The sequence below is a fragment of the Homo sapiens genome, chromosome 4, assembly GCF_000001405.40.
Source record: "Homo sapiens chromosome 4, GRCh38.p14 Primary Assembly".
NCBI lineage: Eukaryota > Metazoa > Chordata > Mammalia > Primates > Hominidae > Homo > Homo sapiens.
Window position 1 is genome coordinate 79,611,973 of NC_000004.12, and position 16,835 is coordinate 79,628,807.

The 16,835-nt window shown below is 35.0% G+C and overlaps 1 long non-coding RNA gene across 2 annotated transcripts in view; it reads left to right on the forward strand.

Moving 5' to 3' along the window:
* The window catches only part of LOC107986294 (uncharacterized), a 61,322-nt gene extending 49,818 nt beyond the window's left edge, over positions 1-11,504 (forward strand). For both annotated transcript variants that reach the window (XR_007058155.1, XR_007058156.1), the window contains exon 7: positions 11,256-11,504. This is a non-coding gene — a long non-coding RNA (uncharacterized LOC107986294). The remainder of the gene's footprint in view (positions 1-11,255) is intronic.
* The last annotated feature ends 5,331 nt before the right edge of the window (positions 11,505-16,835 follow it).

The window sequence follows — 16,835 nt, forward strand, 5'->3', positions numbered from 1 at the left end:
CCAGATCAACCATGTCATAGAGACATGATCATTGTTAACAGCTCTAAAAAGCTCAGAGTATCTGCTATCTGAAAAAAAAAAAAGAATCAGTAAAACTTCTACCCTTCTCACTCATTTCTCTTTCAAAAACTTTCTCTGTGCCTTCATTTATGGTTGTGAATGTGAATTCCTGCTTTTCCTCTAAGCTTTTCTAAAAGGATATTCTAAACTTCATTGAATTCCACTTCTCCTTTCCTTTTTCTTCTCTTCCCCTTTCCTTTTTTTCCCCCTTCTCTTCCCTTCCTTTCACTCTCCTTCTTTACCCTACCTATTCCCTTTCCTTTCTTTCTATTTTCCTTCCTTTCCTTCTCTGTGGTGTTGGATTGGATGTTGAATTATTGATGAGATCTCATGGTTTTCAATGTATTTTGATACATATAGAAATCAATACAGATGAAAATATCCATATATATTATGGGAGGATCTGTGAGAAGAGATAACCCAATAGCAGCTAGCACCCAAATATTGGTTTCTTAATTCCATTTGCTACTCAAAAGAAAAGATGTTCTTGGAGAAATGGTTGATTCCTAGGGCTGAGGCCAAGAAAGTAAAAGATGAGGCTGGAGTAATTGTGGTTCTGCTAAAATTATGGACACATGCCAAAAAGACTCAGAAGTCCACTTGAAAGGGCTCCCACTGGCCAAACCAGGAAAATTTTATCATAAAATTAAAGAATGGTCATATAGATTACAAAGCGTAAGATAAAATTGGAATCCACAAGCACATATGTATAAAAACAGATAGCTGAATACATTAAAATTTTGATGAAGAACAATAAATGTATAAAATTTCAAAGTGCCACCCCAGAAAATATGTATTAATTAAAAAGAAAAATAAAGCTATATTTACAGTAAGGATACCTAGCAGACACATCATTAATCACTTGACTAAAATGAACATTCTCAGTAATAGGACAAATTGACACTGTGCACCACCAAGTAGGGTGCAATAAGAATACAGAATCACTTCTATGTTTTTGTCAAAGACACATAACATGACTCTAAGCGTAAGAATTTTATACTTTTAGGAAAACCAGAGCGAAAGAACACACTGAGGGCTGGAAATTAGAAGAACTGAAAGAGGATCGAGGGTAATCTCTGTGAGGGTAGGACTTTTTGCTTGGAATAGTGTCTAGTGTGTAATGGGCACTTAATAAATAAATTTTGAATAAATGAGAGTAAATTGAAAACAAGGGGATCCAAAAGATAAAATGTGGCCTACTTTACCATTTTTGTCTAACACTAATTTGAATGCCAGCCAATAGGTGTTAGAAATATTTGGGAGAGTACTACGGTCATAATTAACCCAGTTATGCTGAATAACTGCTCCTTAAGTAGTCCTGGTTTCAGCAGGAAACATTTAAAAATATTTTTTTCCATGATGTCTATTAATTCTAATGTAAATCCTTCTGATACTGCATAATGAATGCTAATCATGGATAAAAGATGGATGATGACTGTTCAAGTGCACTCTAATTTGATTTGGCATATCCAAAATATTTTTGTCCCCTGATAAAGCTTTTACAATAAATGTCTCAGTGTTCCTGCCAGAAGATATCAACATGACAAATACAGAAAAACTATTGAATGCAGGTTAAGAACAACTTCCAAGTGTGGAACAATTCCCAAGTGTCTTGATATAATATAGCAGCAAAAACAAAAGAAATGTTCTTCAGTGATCAGTATTCTTATGTCCGGTTGTTGATGGCAACAGAAAATATCACCATATAAACCAAACCCCAGAGTTCCCATCAGTCTTTATGGATGGAACCCAGCTTGTAAGGCTGCCCAGAATCGAGTGGGAATTAATTCTTTCTAGACACCATGTGTCAACCTAATTTGTGGATTCCTTCCCTCCTGAGTTGTTGGCAGAGGAAAATATAGTGTCAGTTGCATTGTTTTCTACCTGAGCCATGGTTAGTTCACGCTGGTGTCAATATGAGCAATTACCAACAGAAATGAAGTGGTGACTGATGTATATTCAAAATTTTGGAATTTCTGAAATATTTAAATTAAATCCTCTGCTAATGTGATAATACATTTTTATGTGAAAAAAAGTCCTGTTTCTGAAATTCTATTGATACATCATCAAATATTTTATTGTTTTCTTGCACACCATAAATCAACAGCTGTATGTCCATCCTTATCTTAATTCTACATGTAATGTAGGTACATCTAATCCTACATGTAATGCTATATATATTTTTCCCATGCCTTTTGTTTATGGTCATTGGTAAAGATTGAATACTTTTGATTTATTATCTATCTTGGTTTGTGGGGCCAACATTCACTCAATAACCTAAATTAAAATCTTGGAATTTATTCTTAACGTTTTCTTTCCTCACCTCCTCCAACTCCATTCATCTTACCTCCAATAATCACGTCCCATTTACTTTACTCCTAAATATTTTTATAATTCATCTCCTTTGTCCAGTATTATCACTGTCAATCTTTAGAGCCTCTCAGATTACTTTAAGAGCCTCCTAACTTGTCTTCCTATACCTAGTCTTGGTCCCATTCTTCACATAACAGCCAGAAAGTTTTAAAATCTCACCTAAAATCTTCAAATTGTTAACCATCAATTACTCTACAAGGAGGCTGACTTTAACTATTCAATATCAGATCCCTGGTACCCAGAACACTGCCTGACCTAAGGTGAGCACATGACAATTATTTGTTGAAGGAATTAATATATGGTTCTGAACCAGGAGAGCATGACAGAAATACCTGGGATTCTTCACACTGCACACATGAACTTTCAGCTAGAGTCTCTGTTAGCTTCCAGACCTAGAGAACAGAGCCTAATTTTCTTGGCATTGTGTGCCGGGACCTTCCTAATCTAGCTGATGTGCACAATCCTAGCATCAGCTCCTGCAATGCCCTTTAATTCTGTATCCTCAAGTAATGACAAATTACTTGGAACACTGACACAATGCCTCAATTTCTTGCCCTGTTCATATTAAATATAGTTAACCTCCTCTTTTTCCTTTACAAGGATTTACCCTGATCAGTGCTCCTCCCTCCCCTGCAGCCTTAGCAACTCACATCTTTCCTAGACTATGGAAGATACTCAGAATACTTCGTGCATTTAACTATTGTTGCCTTTATTACCTTGCTTTGTAACCATCTGTTCAAACATCATTCATCCTCCCTAGAGTGTGATACTTGGGGAGTGGAAACCATGACTTCTTCACCTTTGTATTCTCAGTACAAAACATAGGGCTTTATACACTCAATATCAACATGTTGAATGAATAATTGTGGTCCAAATTAGAAGAAAAATAATAGGGATTGTACTATATTAATGTTTCTATTGTGTTTGTGCTTTTAAAAATTAAGACTTTTTAATCAAATTCTTTGTCCCAGTGAGTAACAATAAAAAGTATATTTAAATTTCAGCAGTCAGATCACATTTTAACATTATATTTTTGCCTTTCTCAGAAGGAACCTAGGCTTTTCTAACACCTCTTTTGTTGGCATCTGTAATCAAGACGTTAGCTTTCACTCATACTGATCAAATATTACTAATCATAATAGAAATGTAAGGAAATTGTTGTTTAAATTTGTGGCTTTACCTTCTTTGCTAAGTCTATTTGCTGGTGTTCTATCTTTAGTAAATAGAGTTCACATAAGCTCCGTCTTTCTAAATCACAGGCATCACATTTGAAATGAAATAAAAAGACTTTGGTGCAGAGCTGCTTTTTGTGTGATTGTGAGGTCTGTCCTTTAATTAGCATTCCTATCTGTTGTTTGCAAAGCATGCTGTTTAATCCAATTTCTGTAAAAAAAGAAAGCCAGAAGAGTATTTCTTGCACAAAGAGACAGTGACAGAAAAATATGTTTGAATCTTTTAATCAAAGGGATATGAGCCACTTAAGCTTGGATATTCACTGCTTCTGCAAGAGTTCTGATGGGCAGAAGACTCAACGGCACTGGTGCTTGGGAGACATGCACTGGGGCTGAGGCAAAGATGGTGGAACTTGGAAGACATGCAGTAGGGCTTAGGTGAGACCTAGTTGGATGCAGAATGTCTCTCTGTGAAGCATGGTTGCTATTTTTGTTAGAAGTAATTGGTGGTCAATAGGGACTGGCTTTGTCACTTCTACTCTTTTGAAATGAGCCTGATGTGTCTCTTGTTATCCATGGAAATGCCACCTTTATCCCCACTGTACTTTTCAATTCATTATCCCCTTTGGACAAGTGATTGAGTCCTCCTGTAATGTCTTTAATGGAAGCTGTGTTACTTAACCAAGGAAGCTTGGGATGGAAAAGACAGGTATTTATTTGTAATGGGGTCACCCTGTATCAGGTGAAACTCTCTGCTTATGGGTCAAATGCAAGTGTCACACTGAGTGGATGTTTCTGTGGGATGAGCACAGAGTGGAGCTGGTTCACGCTGCGGTTTCTTAGCCACCTGTCTTGGAAAATATGTACTGCTAACCAGCTTGTAAGTCATCCTTGTTGACAACTAATGTCATGGAATAGTAAGACTCAAAGATAGAAGTTGGTCATTTTTAAAAAATTTATATATGAATACTTTGTCTTGTTGATATGTCAGAAACTGAAAATTCTAGTAACCGGACTCCTCTTTGTCTACTATGCGGGGATGGAGGGGTGGTGTGGTGGGCAGGTCCTGGCAAATATTAGCTTTATCTTTGCCCTTCTGAATAGGATTGACCTAGTTTCTATGATAAAAATCTTTGTAGGGTATAATTTATGTATTGGGAATCACCTTATCTTTTCTCAAACTTTTCACCTTCAGTACTTTAGAAAACTTAAATTTACTTTAGTAAATCACTGTACTTTATTAAAGTTTTTATTCTTTGTTTTTGAAAAATGCAGAGAGCCCATATTGCACATTAATCCATTCTGATTTCTCCCCAGTGTTCTGTTTTCAAAATTCAAACAAATTACTAAGTTACATATGTTTCAGTCACTAAAAGTTTTGACCATGGTTCTGCTCCTAACTAGCTGGATAAAGTATGGGTATGTTTATTTTACAAATAAAATAATGGGATTGGATGACAGCTTTCTCACCTTTTGCTTTTATGAGCTTATGAGCTTATGTACTTTGGGAGGCTATACGACTTGGTATATTACCTATGAAGTGGCATAATATCATCCCTACAAATTATCTGTATAGTATTTAATCTATTCATTTCTATGAAAGTTTAATCTTTATCAATTCAGTAAAATAAAGTAACTAACACAATCTTAGAAAGCAGCCAGGTTATGAGCATCATTGAAGGTTTATTACAACGTACTTTCCCTCAGCTGTCAGGACGTGGCCCATTCTAATGAACGAATGAACCAAGCAAGGCATGTGGCTCTAAGAATCTATCCAACTCAAATAAAACATAGGCCAACCACCTTAACATATAACAATGAGGGATTTTCTTTTCATTTTAAAAATAATTTCCTAAGAAAAGTATTGGCCATAAAACTAAAAATATATGTAGGATACACTTAAAATAATAAGTTTATTCAGTACAGGCAATAAAACGTATCATATAGGGACAATAAAAATGTGTCAAGTAGCTACCGTGTACCAGGCTTTTGTCTAATAATTGAGGGTGTAAGATGTATTAGACAAGCTGCTTTAAGGAACTTATAATCTAGGTAGTGAATAAAGTCAACTGCAAGGAGTGTTTTAATAAAATATGGTGAGTTTAATGTGAACTCTGATAAGGAGGCAAAGAGAAGACATCTTTAGAAGAAAGATTGGGCAAATGAATCAGACAGATTCTAGGAAAGAAAATATCAAAGCCACATTTTGAACAATGTGCAGGAATTTGCCAGGTTGGAAGTGTCTTACTGTAAGTGTCAAAGGTGTGAACGTAGCTGTAGCGGTAGCAGGCAAGAGAGGGAGGCAAATAGCTTGAGGTAAAGAAGGAGCATATAGAGAAAGTTTATATTTTATTAAATGTAGCAATTAAACAGATGGATGTGGTATAGAGAAAGCATCTAATTTGTTAACTATTTTTTTAATTGGTTGGTTTGCAGCCATATAGATCCAATTGCAGGTAACACTTAACTTTGCAAAGACAAATGCAATGTTAATTTATGAGGAAGACCAAATAACCAGTGACTCTGCTAATTAAACACAGTGTTATGGTAGAACTCTTTCCTTTATATATGATACAGTCATCCCTCTGTAGCTGTGGGTTCCACAACCATGGATTCAACCAACTGTAGTCCAAAAATATTCACAAAAAGTTGCATCTGTATGGAAAATGTACAGATGTTTTTCCTTGTCATTATTTCATAAACAAGACAGTATAACAACTATTTACATAGCATTTACATTCTATTAGGTATTATAAGTAACCTAGAGATGATTTAAAGTAAACAAGAGGGATGTGTGTAGGTTATTTGCAAATATTACACCATCTTATATCATGAACTTTAGCATCTGTAAATTTTGGTGCCCATGGGGGTCCCAGAACCCATCCATTATGGATACTGAGAAGTTACTATAATTATTACTTAACTGTTACTTAAATAAATATTTTAAATTATATCACAGAAAAAAAATTGGGAAGTGAAGGTAAAAAAGAAGTTCACCCACATAACACGTTGACACTCTTTTACTTTTGAGTTCCTTGCATTTCTTTACATTTACTTTTTTATTTTGTATAATATAATAATAATAATATTTACTATTTTTAATGTATAGTTTCAAGTTTTGACAAATGTAGTCATGTAACCACTGGCACAATCAAGAAACAGAACAGTTCATTTCCCTCCAAAAATCCACTCATGCTGCCCTTTTGTTGTCAAACCCTTCTGCCACTCTTGACCTCTAGCCACTACTGATCTACTCACTATCCCTGTAGTTTTGCTTTTTTCATATAAATGGCTATAGAATGTCATATAAATGGAATCAAACAAGTTGTATCAATTTGCCCACAGATTCTATCACTTAGCATAATGCATTTGAGTTAAGATTCATCCATGTGGTTGCATGGATCAACATGCATACACACACACACAGACACATACACACACATATATGTATATTTATAAATGATTGGCAAAATATACCATATGTTTGGTATTTTTGAGAATGCCACCGAATGGATACACCACAGTTTATGAATCACCAGTTTAAGTATATTTGCATTGCTTCTAGTTTTTGGAGATTATAACTAAAGTTGCTATAAACATGCATGTATAGAGTTTTGTGTAAATAAAAGATTTCATTTTTACAAGTTGGACTGTTGAGTCATGTGGTAAGTATATATTTAATTTTATAAGAACCTGCAAAACTGTTTCTAAAACAACTACCATTTTGCATCCCCACAAGATGTATACGAGAGTTCTAGTTAATCTAATTCTTCACCAGCACTTGATATTGTCAACATTTTTTAAGCTATCCTAATATATTAGTGGTATTTTATAGTAGTTTTAATTTGTATTTTCTTAATAATTGAAAATGTTGAGCATCCTTACTTCTGCTTATTTGCCATCCAAGTATCTTTGGTAAAATACAAATTCAAATCTTCTGACTATTTTTAAATTGTTTGTTTTCCTACAGTTGAGCTTAAGAGTTCTTTTCATATTCTTGATACAAGTCCTTTGTTGGATGATTAATTTGAAAATATTTTCTCTCAGCATGGTCCTGTCTTTTCATTCCTTTAATAGTGTCTTTTTGCAAAGAAAAATTTTAATTTTGGTGAGGTTCTATTTATCATTTTTTATCATATATAAATGATTCTTTGGGTGTGATTTTTATCCATTTAAAAATATGTTTTAAAACATTTGTAACCATAGAATACATGCAATTTTTATTCTCTGTTTTCATTGAGTATTATATCAACGGTACCTTTTAGTGTTATATACTTTCAACAATCATTGAAAAAATAACATAGTTTTCTGTAGAGGATAATACTCCATGGATTTATTCAGCATCAATGTATTAAATGCCTGTTATGTACAGAACATTACAGAAGCAAGCAAAACAGTAATGGTTCTTACCTTCATATTAAGCTCACATTTTATTACAAAATCCTCCAAAATTGCTTTATCTATTTCTTAAAAGTGCAGACTATCTAGTCCTTTCCCTGATTTAATAGATGTGAGGTGCAGCCCTCAAAATTTTTTTACAATTACCTATAAGTCAAATTTCAATAACATTAATTACATAGACATTAGTAATATTATACAATGTTTCATAATTATTTTAACTTTATTGAATATTTAGATCACTTTTGTGTTTTTCTATAATAAATAATTATGTTAACAATGTCCCTTCATTATTGTTAGCAAAGTCCATCAACACAGGTGTCTTAGTTGTGTTTTTATAACAGAGTACCACAGACTGGGTAATTTACAATGAACAGGAATTTATTGCCTCATGATTCTGGAGGCTGGGAATTCCAAGACTTGGGGGGCTGCCATCTGATGAGGACCTTCTTGCTACATCATCCCATGAAAGAAGTGCAAAGAGAGAGCAAGAGGGAATAAGAAGGGACTGAATGCATTATTTTATAAGAAACCCACTTCTGTGATAATGACTTTAATCCACTAATGAAGGTGGTGCCCCGTGACCTGAACACCTCCTGTTAGGCCTCTCCTTTCAATATCACTGAAAGTTAATCATTGGAAATTAAGTTTTTAACACATGAACTCTGGTGGACACATTCAAACCATAGCAACTTGGCAACAATAAAGATGAACAGTATTGAACTGATAGAGAAATCCACATACATATGCACTCTATGAAAACAAATTACATTGTGTTCTGTGCAACAACTGATAACAGCAAGGTCCAGATTGCTTAAAAAGTAGGTATAATCTTATCTTTGCATGAACCCAACTTGAGTCTACATTTATGGAAATAAGATAGCTTTTTTGAGTGTGACTACTTCAGATAAACAGTATGAATTACATTTATGTTGTTTTCCTGAGAATGTCTTAAAGCATTTTCAGAAGGCTGGAACTATCTGGGAAGATGAATGAAACACCCTGAAGGATCACAGAAATTTTGAGCCAAACAAATGATGTTCTTTTCAACCAAAGTTGTAGCAGCTGCACTTTATTTAGTTCTTTGAACTTCTAACTCTATTCTCTCCCTATAGGAGAGCAGAATACCCAGGAAAGTTGACAAAATATACATGATTATTGTGATTGGGGCCAAATATGAGGAGTTGAATGAAACATTAATACAAACCCATCTTCTTCAGTGACCTTAGCACTGCCTCAGGTTTTGCCAAATTAGTACATGTATGACCTGGTTATTGGTCTTTTGAAACTCGAAACTTCTTAACTGACTTAAAAGAATCTATCTACACAGAATAAGAGTAAGAGTTTGAGTAAGAGCTTGTTTCTTACTTCACACAAATATGCATGGTGAATCTTTCTAGAAAGAAATGACCAAATTCCAGAATTTCAGGATCAGTATAATACAATACTCAAATAAATGATGGATGGGTACAGTGTAAGTATCTATTTCTACTAACTATAAACTTTGAAGAGGCATAAAAATAAAATGTGGTAGGTTTATATAAAGAATATGTGTGAAAAAATATATGCTCAATAGCTGGTTTCCATATCTTAATTATTATGTCCAACATACTGCAAATTTTTAAATAATCATTTTCACCAAGTTCAAAGAACTCTCTCAAGTTCAACACTTTGGAAAGCACAAAAATATTTCCAGTCTTTCAATCATGAATTTCAGCCCTTGTACCCAATTTTTTAAGACAAAGACACAGTCAAAAGCTAACAAACTTCTACTAGTTCTTAAAATATGAAAAACACTCAACTCACCTAAGGGAATGGAGAAAGAAACTATTTTTATTATATACTGGGTGTCAGTAATTTTGCATGGTTCTCTCATTTTACCCATACAATACTCTTTCAAGGTTGACGTAATCATTTTAGGAATGAACTAAGTCAGAGTAACCTTGAAGTGAAGCTTTCCTTAACCTTTAACATTTTGTACCTCCAAAGCAAATGTAAAAAGCAATCTCTGTTGATGGGGTAGAATCAGGTGATCTCATGAATATGTTATTAGTTGGTGTCAGAAATAAAACTGTAAGAAGATGCCATACCGTTGCAATACTCCTTGCCTACCATTGAAAGACACTAGAATAATGAACAGAATACTCAGTGTTTGCAGGATGAATGTGTCTAAATGATTGCCCGTAACACTTGAAAAGGAACATGATCTTCTTGATCCGTCTATCCACAAACTAATAATTTCTCTCTCTCTCTCTTAACTTTTATCAAATAAATACTGTGAAACTGGTCTCTTAATCCACATTATTATTAATACTTTTAAAAATCCAAACAGAATTTTGTGATTCCTGATTTACAGATGAGGAAACTAAGCCCTGGAGATGTGAAGATAATTCCAGCAGTCAGTGGCAGAGTCACGATGTTCATCTACCTCAGCTGAAATAAAAATCTATGCCATTGCTTTTGTGCTATTTCTTCTCTAGATGGTTAACAATTGCTCAATCTGCAATCTGTGTTACACTTTCCACCCTATATTTTTACATTTCACCTCAAATAGACATCCCTGAAATTCCACCTGAAACATACTTTTCCTTTCTTATACTTGGCATGTCATGTCTGCTCTCCAGGTTGGTATCTGATGAAATCTCCCAGTTTTACTTTAATTGGCATTGGCAACATGCGGTCCCTGATAAAAAGCATATTTTCTTTCGAGATTACAATCATCAGTTGGGCTCATTTTTCTTGGCCCCTCCATCGAGCTGAACTTCTTTGGAAAAAGAAACAGCAGCTTGTGGGTTACTAAATGCCAGAGAGCTGAACTTAAAAAAAAAGAGAGAGGAAAAAAAATCACAAAGGAAAACAACTTAAAAATACATTTAGAAAGCCTGCGTGCATGCATGCGTGTGTGTATGTGTGTGTGCATGAGAACATAGACTTGCATTAATCACTCAGTTCACATATGATATATATGCAGAACTAGTGTGTGTATGCAAAACTCTTAAAGGGCATGATTTTTATCCATAGCCTATTTATTCCAAACATAGCTAAATGAGGAGGCCAAATATAGAAAGTGATGCTCCAGGGGCCCTACAGCCTATATAGAATTTAAACTCAAATGATTTGCAAAATCACTACTAAGACAGCTTGCTCATACTGTCAGCGTGCCAGCACCAGAAGCTTGTCGTGTATTTTTGTCTTGGCAGATGCACATTCTGTTATAAAGGTCTGTTCATCTGATGCCTTCCTTGTTTTCAGGTAATGCTCAGCGCCTTCTTGCAGAGGGAAGAGTGAGCCTGTGTCGCTTCTCCATGTCCTGGAGGAGACAGTCTGCACTCAGACTCTGACCATGTGCTGGTGTCCTGGCTTACCTCCATTAAGAGTTCATTTCTGCTCCATAAAACTACAGGTCACGAGTGCTCTCATTCCTTTCTTTTTATATTATTCAATTTTATTTCTGACATTTGCCAGGGCACAGGGAAATAAACCAGTGTTAGTTAATATCAACAATGACTCCGTTTCTTTAAAAATCACCTGAGGTTTGAGGAGGTTGTCTTTTTTTTCTTTTAGATTAAAACATGGTTTCCCAAAACTGATTAGCATAGTTTTTAAGCCACTCTGAAGTGTTTGTTAGGCTTCGCATGCTGGTCTCCATATGCCTCTTTTCAATTACATGTGCCGCCACAAGTATGGCTAAACGAAACGCTTCTTTAAAAACAGAAAGCAAACTGTTAGGCTTTGTGCAGTGTAACTAGTTAGCGTGCGACATCTCAAACTGCCCTGATTTCATCACCAAACTGCTAAATGTTCTGTTTGCAGAAATAGCCATTAAAATGTATCTTAAAATTAGATGCTCTGTCAGAATTAAAGGGGAGACAGGGGAACTGGAAGGGATTAAAATAACAGGAAATGGAGTTTAGACCTTGGTTGTCTTGGAGGCTATCTGTGGAAAACTTTTCATTTTTTGGTGGTAGCAAAAGTAATAATAATAATTCTGTTTATTGAACACTTCTTATGTGTCTGGATGATTGAAAAATCTTCAAGTTATGTCAATTAATTACCAATTATTAATCATTACAGCCACTCTATAAGGTAAGTACTATAATTATACATATTAGGAGACTGCAGCAGTGAGATTTAGTAATTTTCCTGAGGGCATGCAGGAAAGTGGTAGAGCTGAGACAAGACCAGGTACTATAGCTACAGGGTTTACATCTTATTTTGAGGTTAGTAGGAGGAACATGTGCTGGGATTGTATTAGGAAGCTCCTTGTTTATCCACACTTGTGTTGCTGTACACTGGGTTATATTACTAGATTATAAATGCTCTTGTATCACCCACTAAGATGCCTGCCATGTATCCGATTCTCAGAAGATGTTTGTGGAATGAATGAATAGATGAATGAATGATATCTTCCTTTTAGGAAAATGCTATAAGTAAACCAATTTGAGTGCAAAATGAGACATTATTTGGACAAAACAAACTAACGAACAAAAATCAACTTGTGGAAAAATCTACTCAGCTTCTCATTTACTCTTTTACTACAGTGAGAGGCCTTGTACCACATGGTGGGAAAACACACGTAATAATTCGACAGCCAACTGAAGCTCTAGTACTAAATCCAGGCTAGCCACAGACTCACCACTTGATTTTATTTGGTCACTTCAATTTGGGCTTCAGTATCCTTGTTTGCTTAATAAGGGCATTTATTTGGAAAGCAACCTCTCTTAATTCTGATGTCCTACGGTATTTTCAAACAACTGAAATTAGAACTCACTTTTTATAAAAAGTTTTTCCTGAGTGTCCATGGAGTGGATCTAATTTGTGTATTTATGACCATAGAAAGTGCTTCTTTCATCAATGCTAAAAAGGTACATGGTCTCTAAGACAGAAGGAAAGATAGCTTATTTTTTTAAAGTGAGAGAAGTTACTTAGAGAATAGTGAAAATTGAGTTTAGTAATGTTTAGTACATACTAGAAAAGCCTCAAAAACAGGTTTGCAAAAGTTATTAATTCCCACAACACAGTGGAATGCTTTGGAATTATCATCAAATTTATTTATTTTTCTTTTATACAATGGTTGTTTCTGAAAATTTGTATATTTAAATAATAATAAAATTAATGATATTTTAAAAATATTAGGGACATTGATTACTTTAATGTAAATAAATACTATTGAGAAGAATCTTTGGATAAATGCATTCTCAAACTTTAAGGTTCTGTTTAAGTGAATTTCTACTTAGCAAATAAAGTTGGGATCTGGAATAACACAAAATCTCCAGGTCCCATATCTATGGTAAACATGAGGAGCAGCTTGAATATGGTTTTATTTACTTCTAGAAAATAGATTTTGAGTTACAGGTATACCTGGTCACAGGAAATCCAGACACATGCAAAACCAGATTTATACATATGATAAATTATTTTAAGGGTTCTCTGAACATCAATGCCATCATCCATCAACATGAAGCTGCTTCTGCAAATGTGCACACATTTCCTGAAAGGATTTATAATCCAGCCAATACGGTACATTTTGAATGTGTTACAGAAAGGACAGATTTACAGGAGACAATCTGCCTTCATGATGATTGCATATTGTGGCATTTCTAGTCCATATGGATCAGTAAGACTTGGATAGCAGGCATTTGACCTTCAAAATCATGCAAATGTGAAACCAGACTTCTTCTCTTACAGCTGGGAACGTCAGTGGGACTTCTTCAGCTTATTTTGAAGGCAGTGATTAAAGCACAATTTGACTTCTAAAAATTATTGAGATCTTATTTTAATGCTTCTTTCCCCCTATGGAGAATGATTTCGTCTTTTGCTTCCCTCATCCCCATTCCCTCTGGCTAACCTTCACTCATTAGCACCCAGAACTCAAATACTGATCATTTAAGAGAGAACTTGCCAACTCAGAGCCATGGGCTAACTATAAACAAGACTTTAAACCTTTTTGCTAATGCCATAGTTAATCTCAAGTAATAACTTCTGAAAACCTTTGAAAAGGTCTGAGAATGGCTTTCTGTCAGGGGCCTAAGGAAACTGTACATTTTCTCACCGTGAAACCTTGATCATGCCAGATATAATCAGACTGTTTATCTGGCAATGTTAATTTTCTGAGTTTACAGTGTAACAATTCGCCAAGATTATTGGAACAGAATCAGAAGAAGTTATATTTGTTAATCGGCCAATTTTCTTTTTTTGCATTTAAAAATTCAGTGCAAAATGGTATCACATTTTCTAGAGTACTGACGAGACTATGCCTGAATAAATGCATTTGCCAAAGCGAAAGTAATATTAAAAAAAACCCTCGAGATTGAGAGAAACAATTTCAACAGTTTCCCTCTTTGTGATTTAAGGCTTTGAGAACCCTGTAGGGAGAGGCAGACTGGAAGAAACCATAGGCATCCTTGTGACCACATTCTGCCAAGCTAAAGACAACAAGCAAAACCCAATTATAAAGAGGAAAAAAAAGAGATCTGGGCAAAATCTCTGCTTATGAAGAGGCAAACTGGAATTTTTCCCTTCTATTATAGCATCTACAACCAGCTCAGTTACTCCAAAATCTTCTATAAAACAATGGCTTATAAGGTTCTGGTCTAGACAGGCTTTGGGCTTTTTGCTATAACCTTTAATGAATTTATTTGTTTGCTATTTTGTTCATTTCTCCTTCAAAATTGTGTTTCTAGCAACTTACTTTAACTTATGAACCCTTCATTGATAAAGAATAAATCTCATATCGCCTGGCTCTTGTCTCATAACTCAATTTAACCATTTCTCAAATGTAAATGTCTTTCTGTCCAGCTTTAATCAGCTATAAATTTTGGCAGATGCAGGGTTGAGTGTTTCCAAGTGCTTACGATTAGGGCAGTATTTTCCAGTTTCCTTTCTGGACAATGTGAGTATCCAGTGTACTAAGACTCCAAGCACCTAAAAACAGTTAGTGTTTATTAAAAACTTATTATGTGCCATATGACCTTTCCAGGTATTTCTGCTAATTTAATCCTCACAACACCTTTATGAAGTAGGTGCTCTGATTGTCCTCATTTTATAGATAAAGGAGACGCATCCTAACAAAGTTAAGAAACTGCTAATAGTCCATTTTTGGTCATAGTTGGCCCTCATGAAAGAGTTTGAAGCCAAACTGTTCTACCCAACAGCCAACATTCTTTACCATTTTTTTTTAGAAAGAGAAAAGGGGCAATGTGCTGATAAATATTAATTCTAGTTATTTACAGAATTGTTTGAGTGCTATCTTCAATCAAAGGGTTTAGTAGAAAATGGAAAAATCCCCATTAATTATTAATTCACCCTAATAGATAGGTAAAATGGTAGCTGAGCACCTTTATTTTTCAACTACAGATACAAGGAACCAGGAATGTGATAAACAGAAATGACCAGTTGTAGTCAAGTCATATTCTCTCAAGACATCTCAGTTTCTCCTTGAATAACGTGAACAGTTGAAATGGATAAGTTCTAAAGTTCCTCCCACCACTGACATTCTATGACCTTATGATGAATCTTTAGTGGTAGAGATCACAATCATGTTTTAGAATTTGTTTCTATTTATAAAATTTGGTGTTCAGATTCATAACTCAGAAAAAGAAGGGTATAGATTTCTCATTATGTGTTTCTTTCTAGAAAAAGGAGCCAAATCTGTATGTTTCACTTCTAGCATATGAAGACCACTACATAATTCAGTGTAAAAACCAAGAGGAGTATAATGACTACTCCTGAAGAACCACAGTGGCATTTTTTAAAAAAGCCATATAGAAGAGAAATAGGAAATTTATTCTTATAAGATTTTTCCCCTACCTTTAATATACTCCTACAATTTGTACACTCTATCAACCTAAAATGGCCTAGACTATAACACATATATATTTTACATCCCTCAGGGAATATCTAGGACATTATCTCTAAATACTTTTTGAGTTTTGAAAATTTCCTTAAAAAATACACATGTGCCAGGCACGGTGGCTCACGCCTATGATCTCAGCACTTTTAGGAGGCTGAGGCAGGTGTATCACCTGAGGTCAGGGGTTCGAGACCAGCCTGACCAACATGTTAAAACCCCATCTCTACTAAAAATACAAAAAGAAAAAAAAATTAGCCAGGTGTGGTGGTGCACACCTGTAGTCCCAGCTACTTGGGAGGCTGAGGCAGGAGAATCACTCGAAACCAGCAGGCAGAGGTTGCAGTGAGTCCAGATTGCACCACTGCACTTCAGCCTGGGTCACAGAGTGAGACTCTGTCTTAAAAAAAATACACATGAATACACACATGAATACACACACACAACATGTAACATACAATTTCTCTATGTTCCAGAACACTGTTTGAAGTCCTATCACATTATCTGTTGTTTGTAGACCTTTTGGGGCCCTCAGAAGAGTTATAAAGGAGTTTAGCACAGAGCTAGTCATGAATAGGGCACGGGATTTTCTTCTTAGAGATATATCATCAGGCTTGGGGGTGGGAGGTGTGTACATATAGAAGGTAGCCATCATATTCCCATAGAGGTCTCTAAACAGAACAAAAGAGCGTCTGTTAATAATGAAAACAGTCAGATGGCTCTGAGAGGCGAGGATCCAGGAAGGAGAACAACTGCTCACTAATGGGGAAATATTTGTTCTGGTAAACTTTTGTTACCCTTCACCCTTACATCAAATGTCACTGAATACCTCTTCTCCTCAAATGTTCTGGTCTAACTTCTACTGAAAAATAAATAAAGTCTTACAAAAGTATTTTAGATAGGAAGAGACCACAGCATAAAAAGACAAATTTTTATTTATGTTAATAAATCTAAGCAGATTTTTTTTTAATGCAGAATTTTGA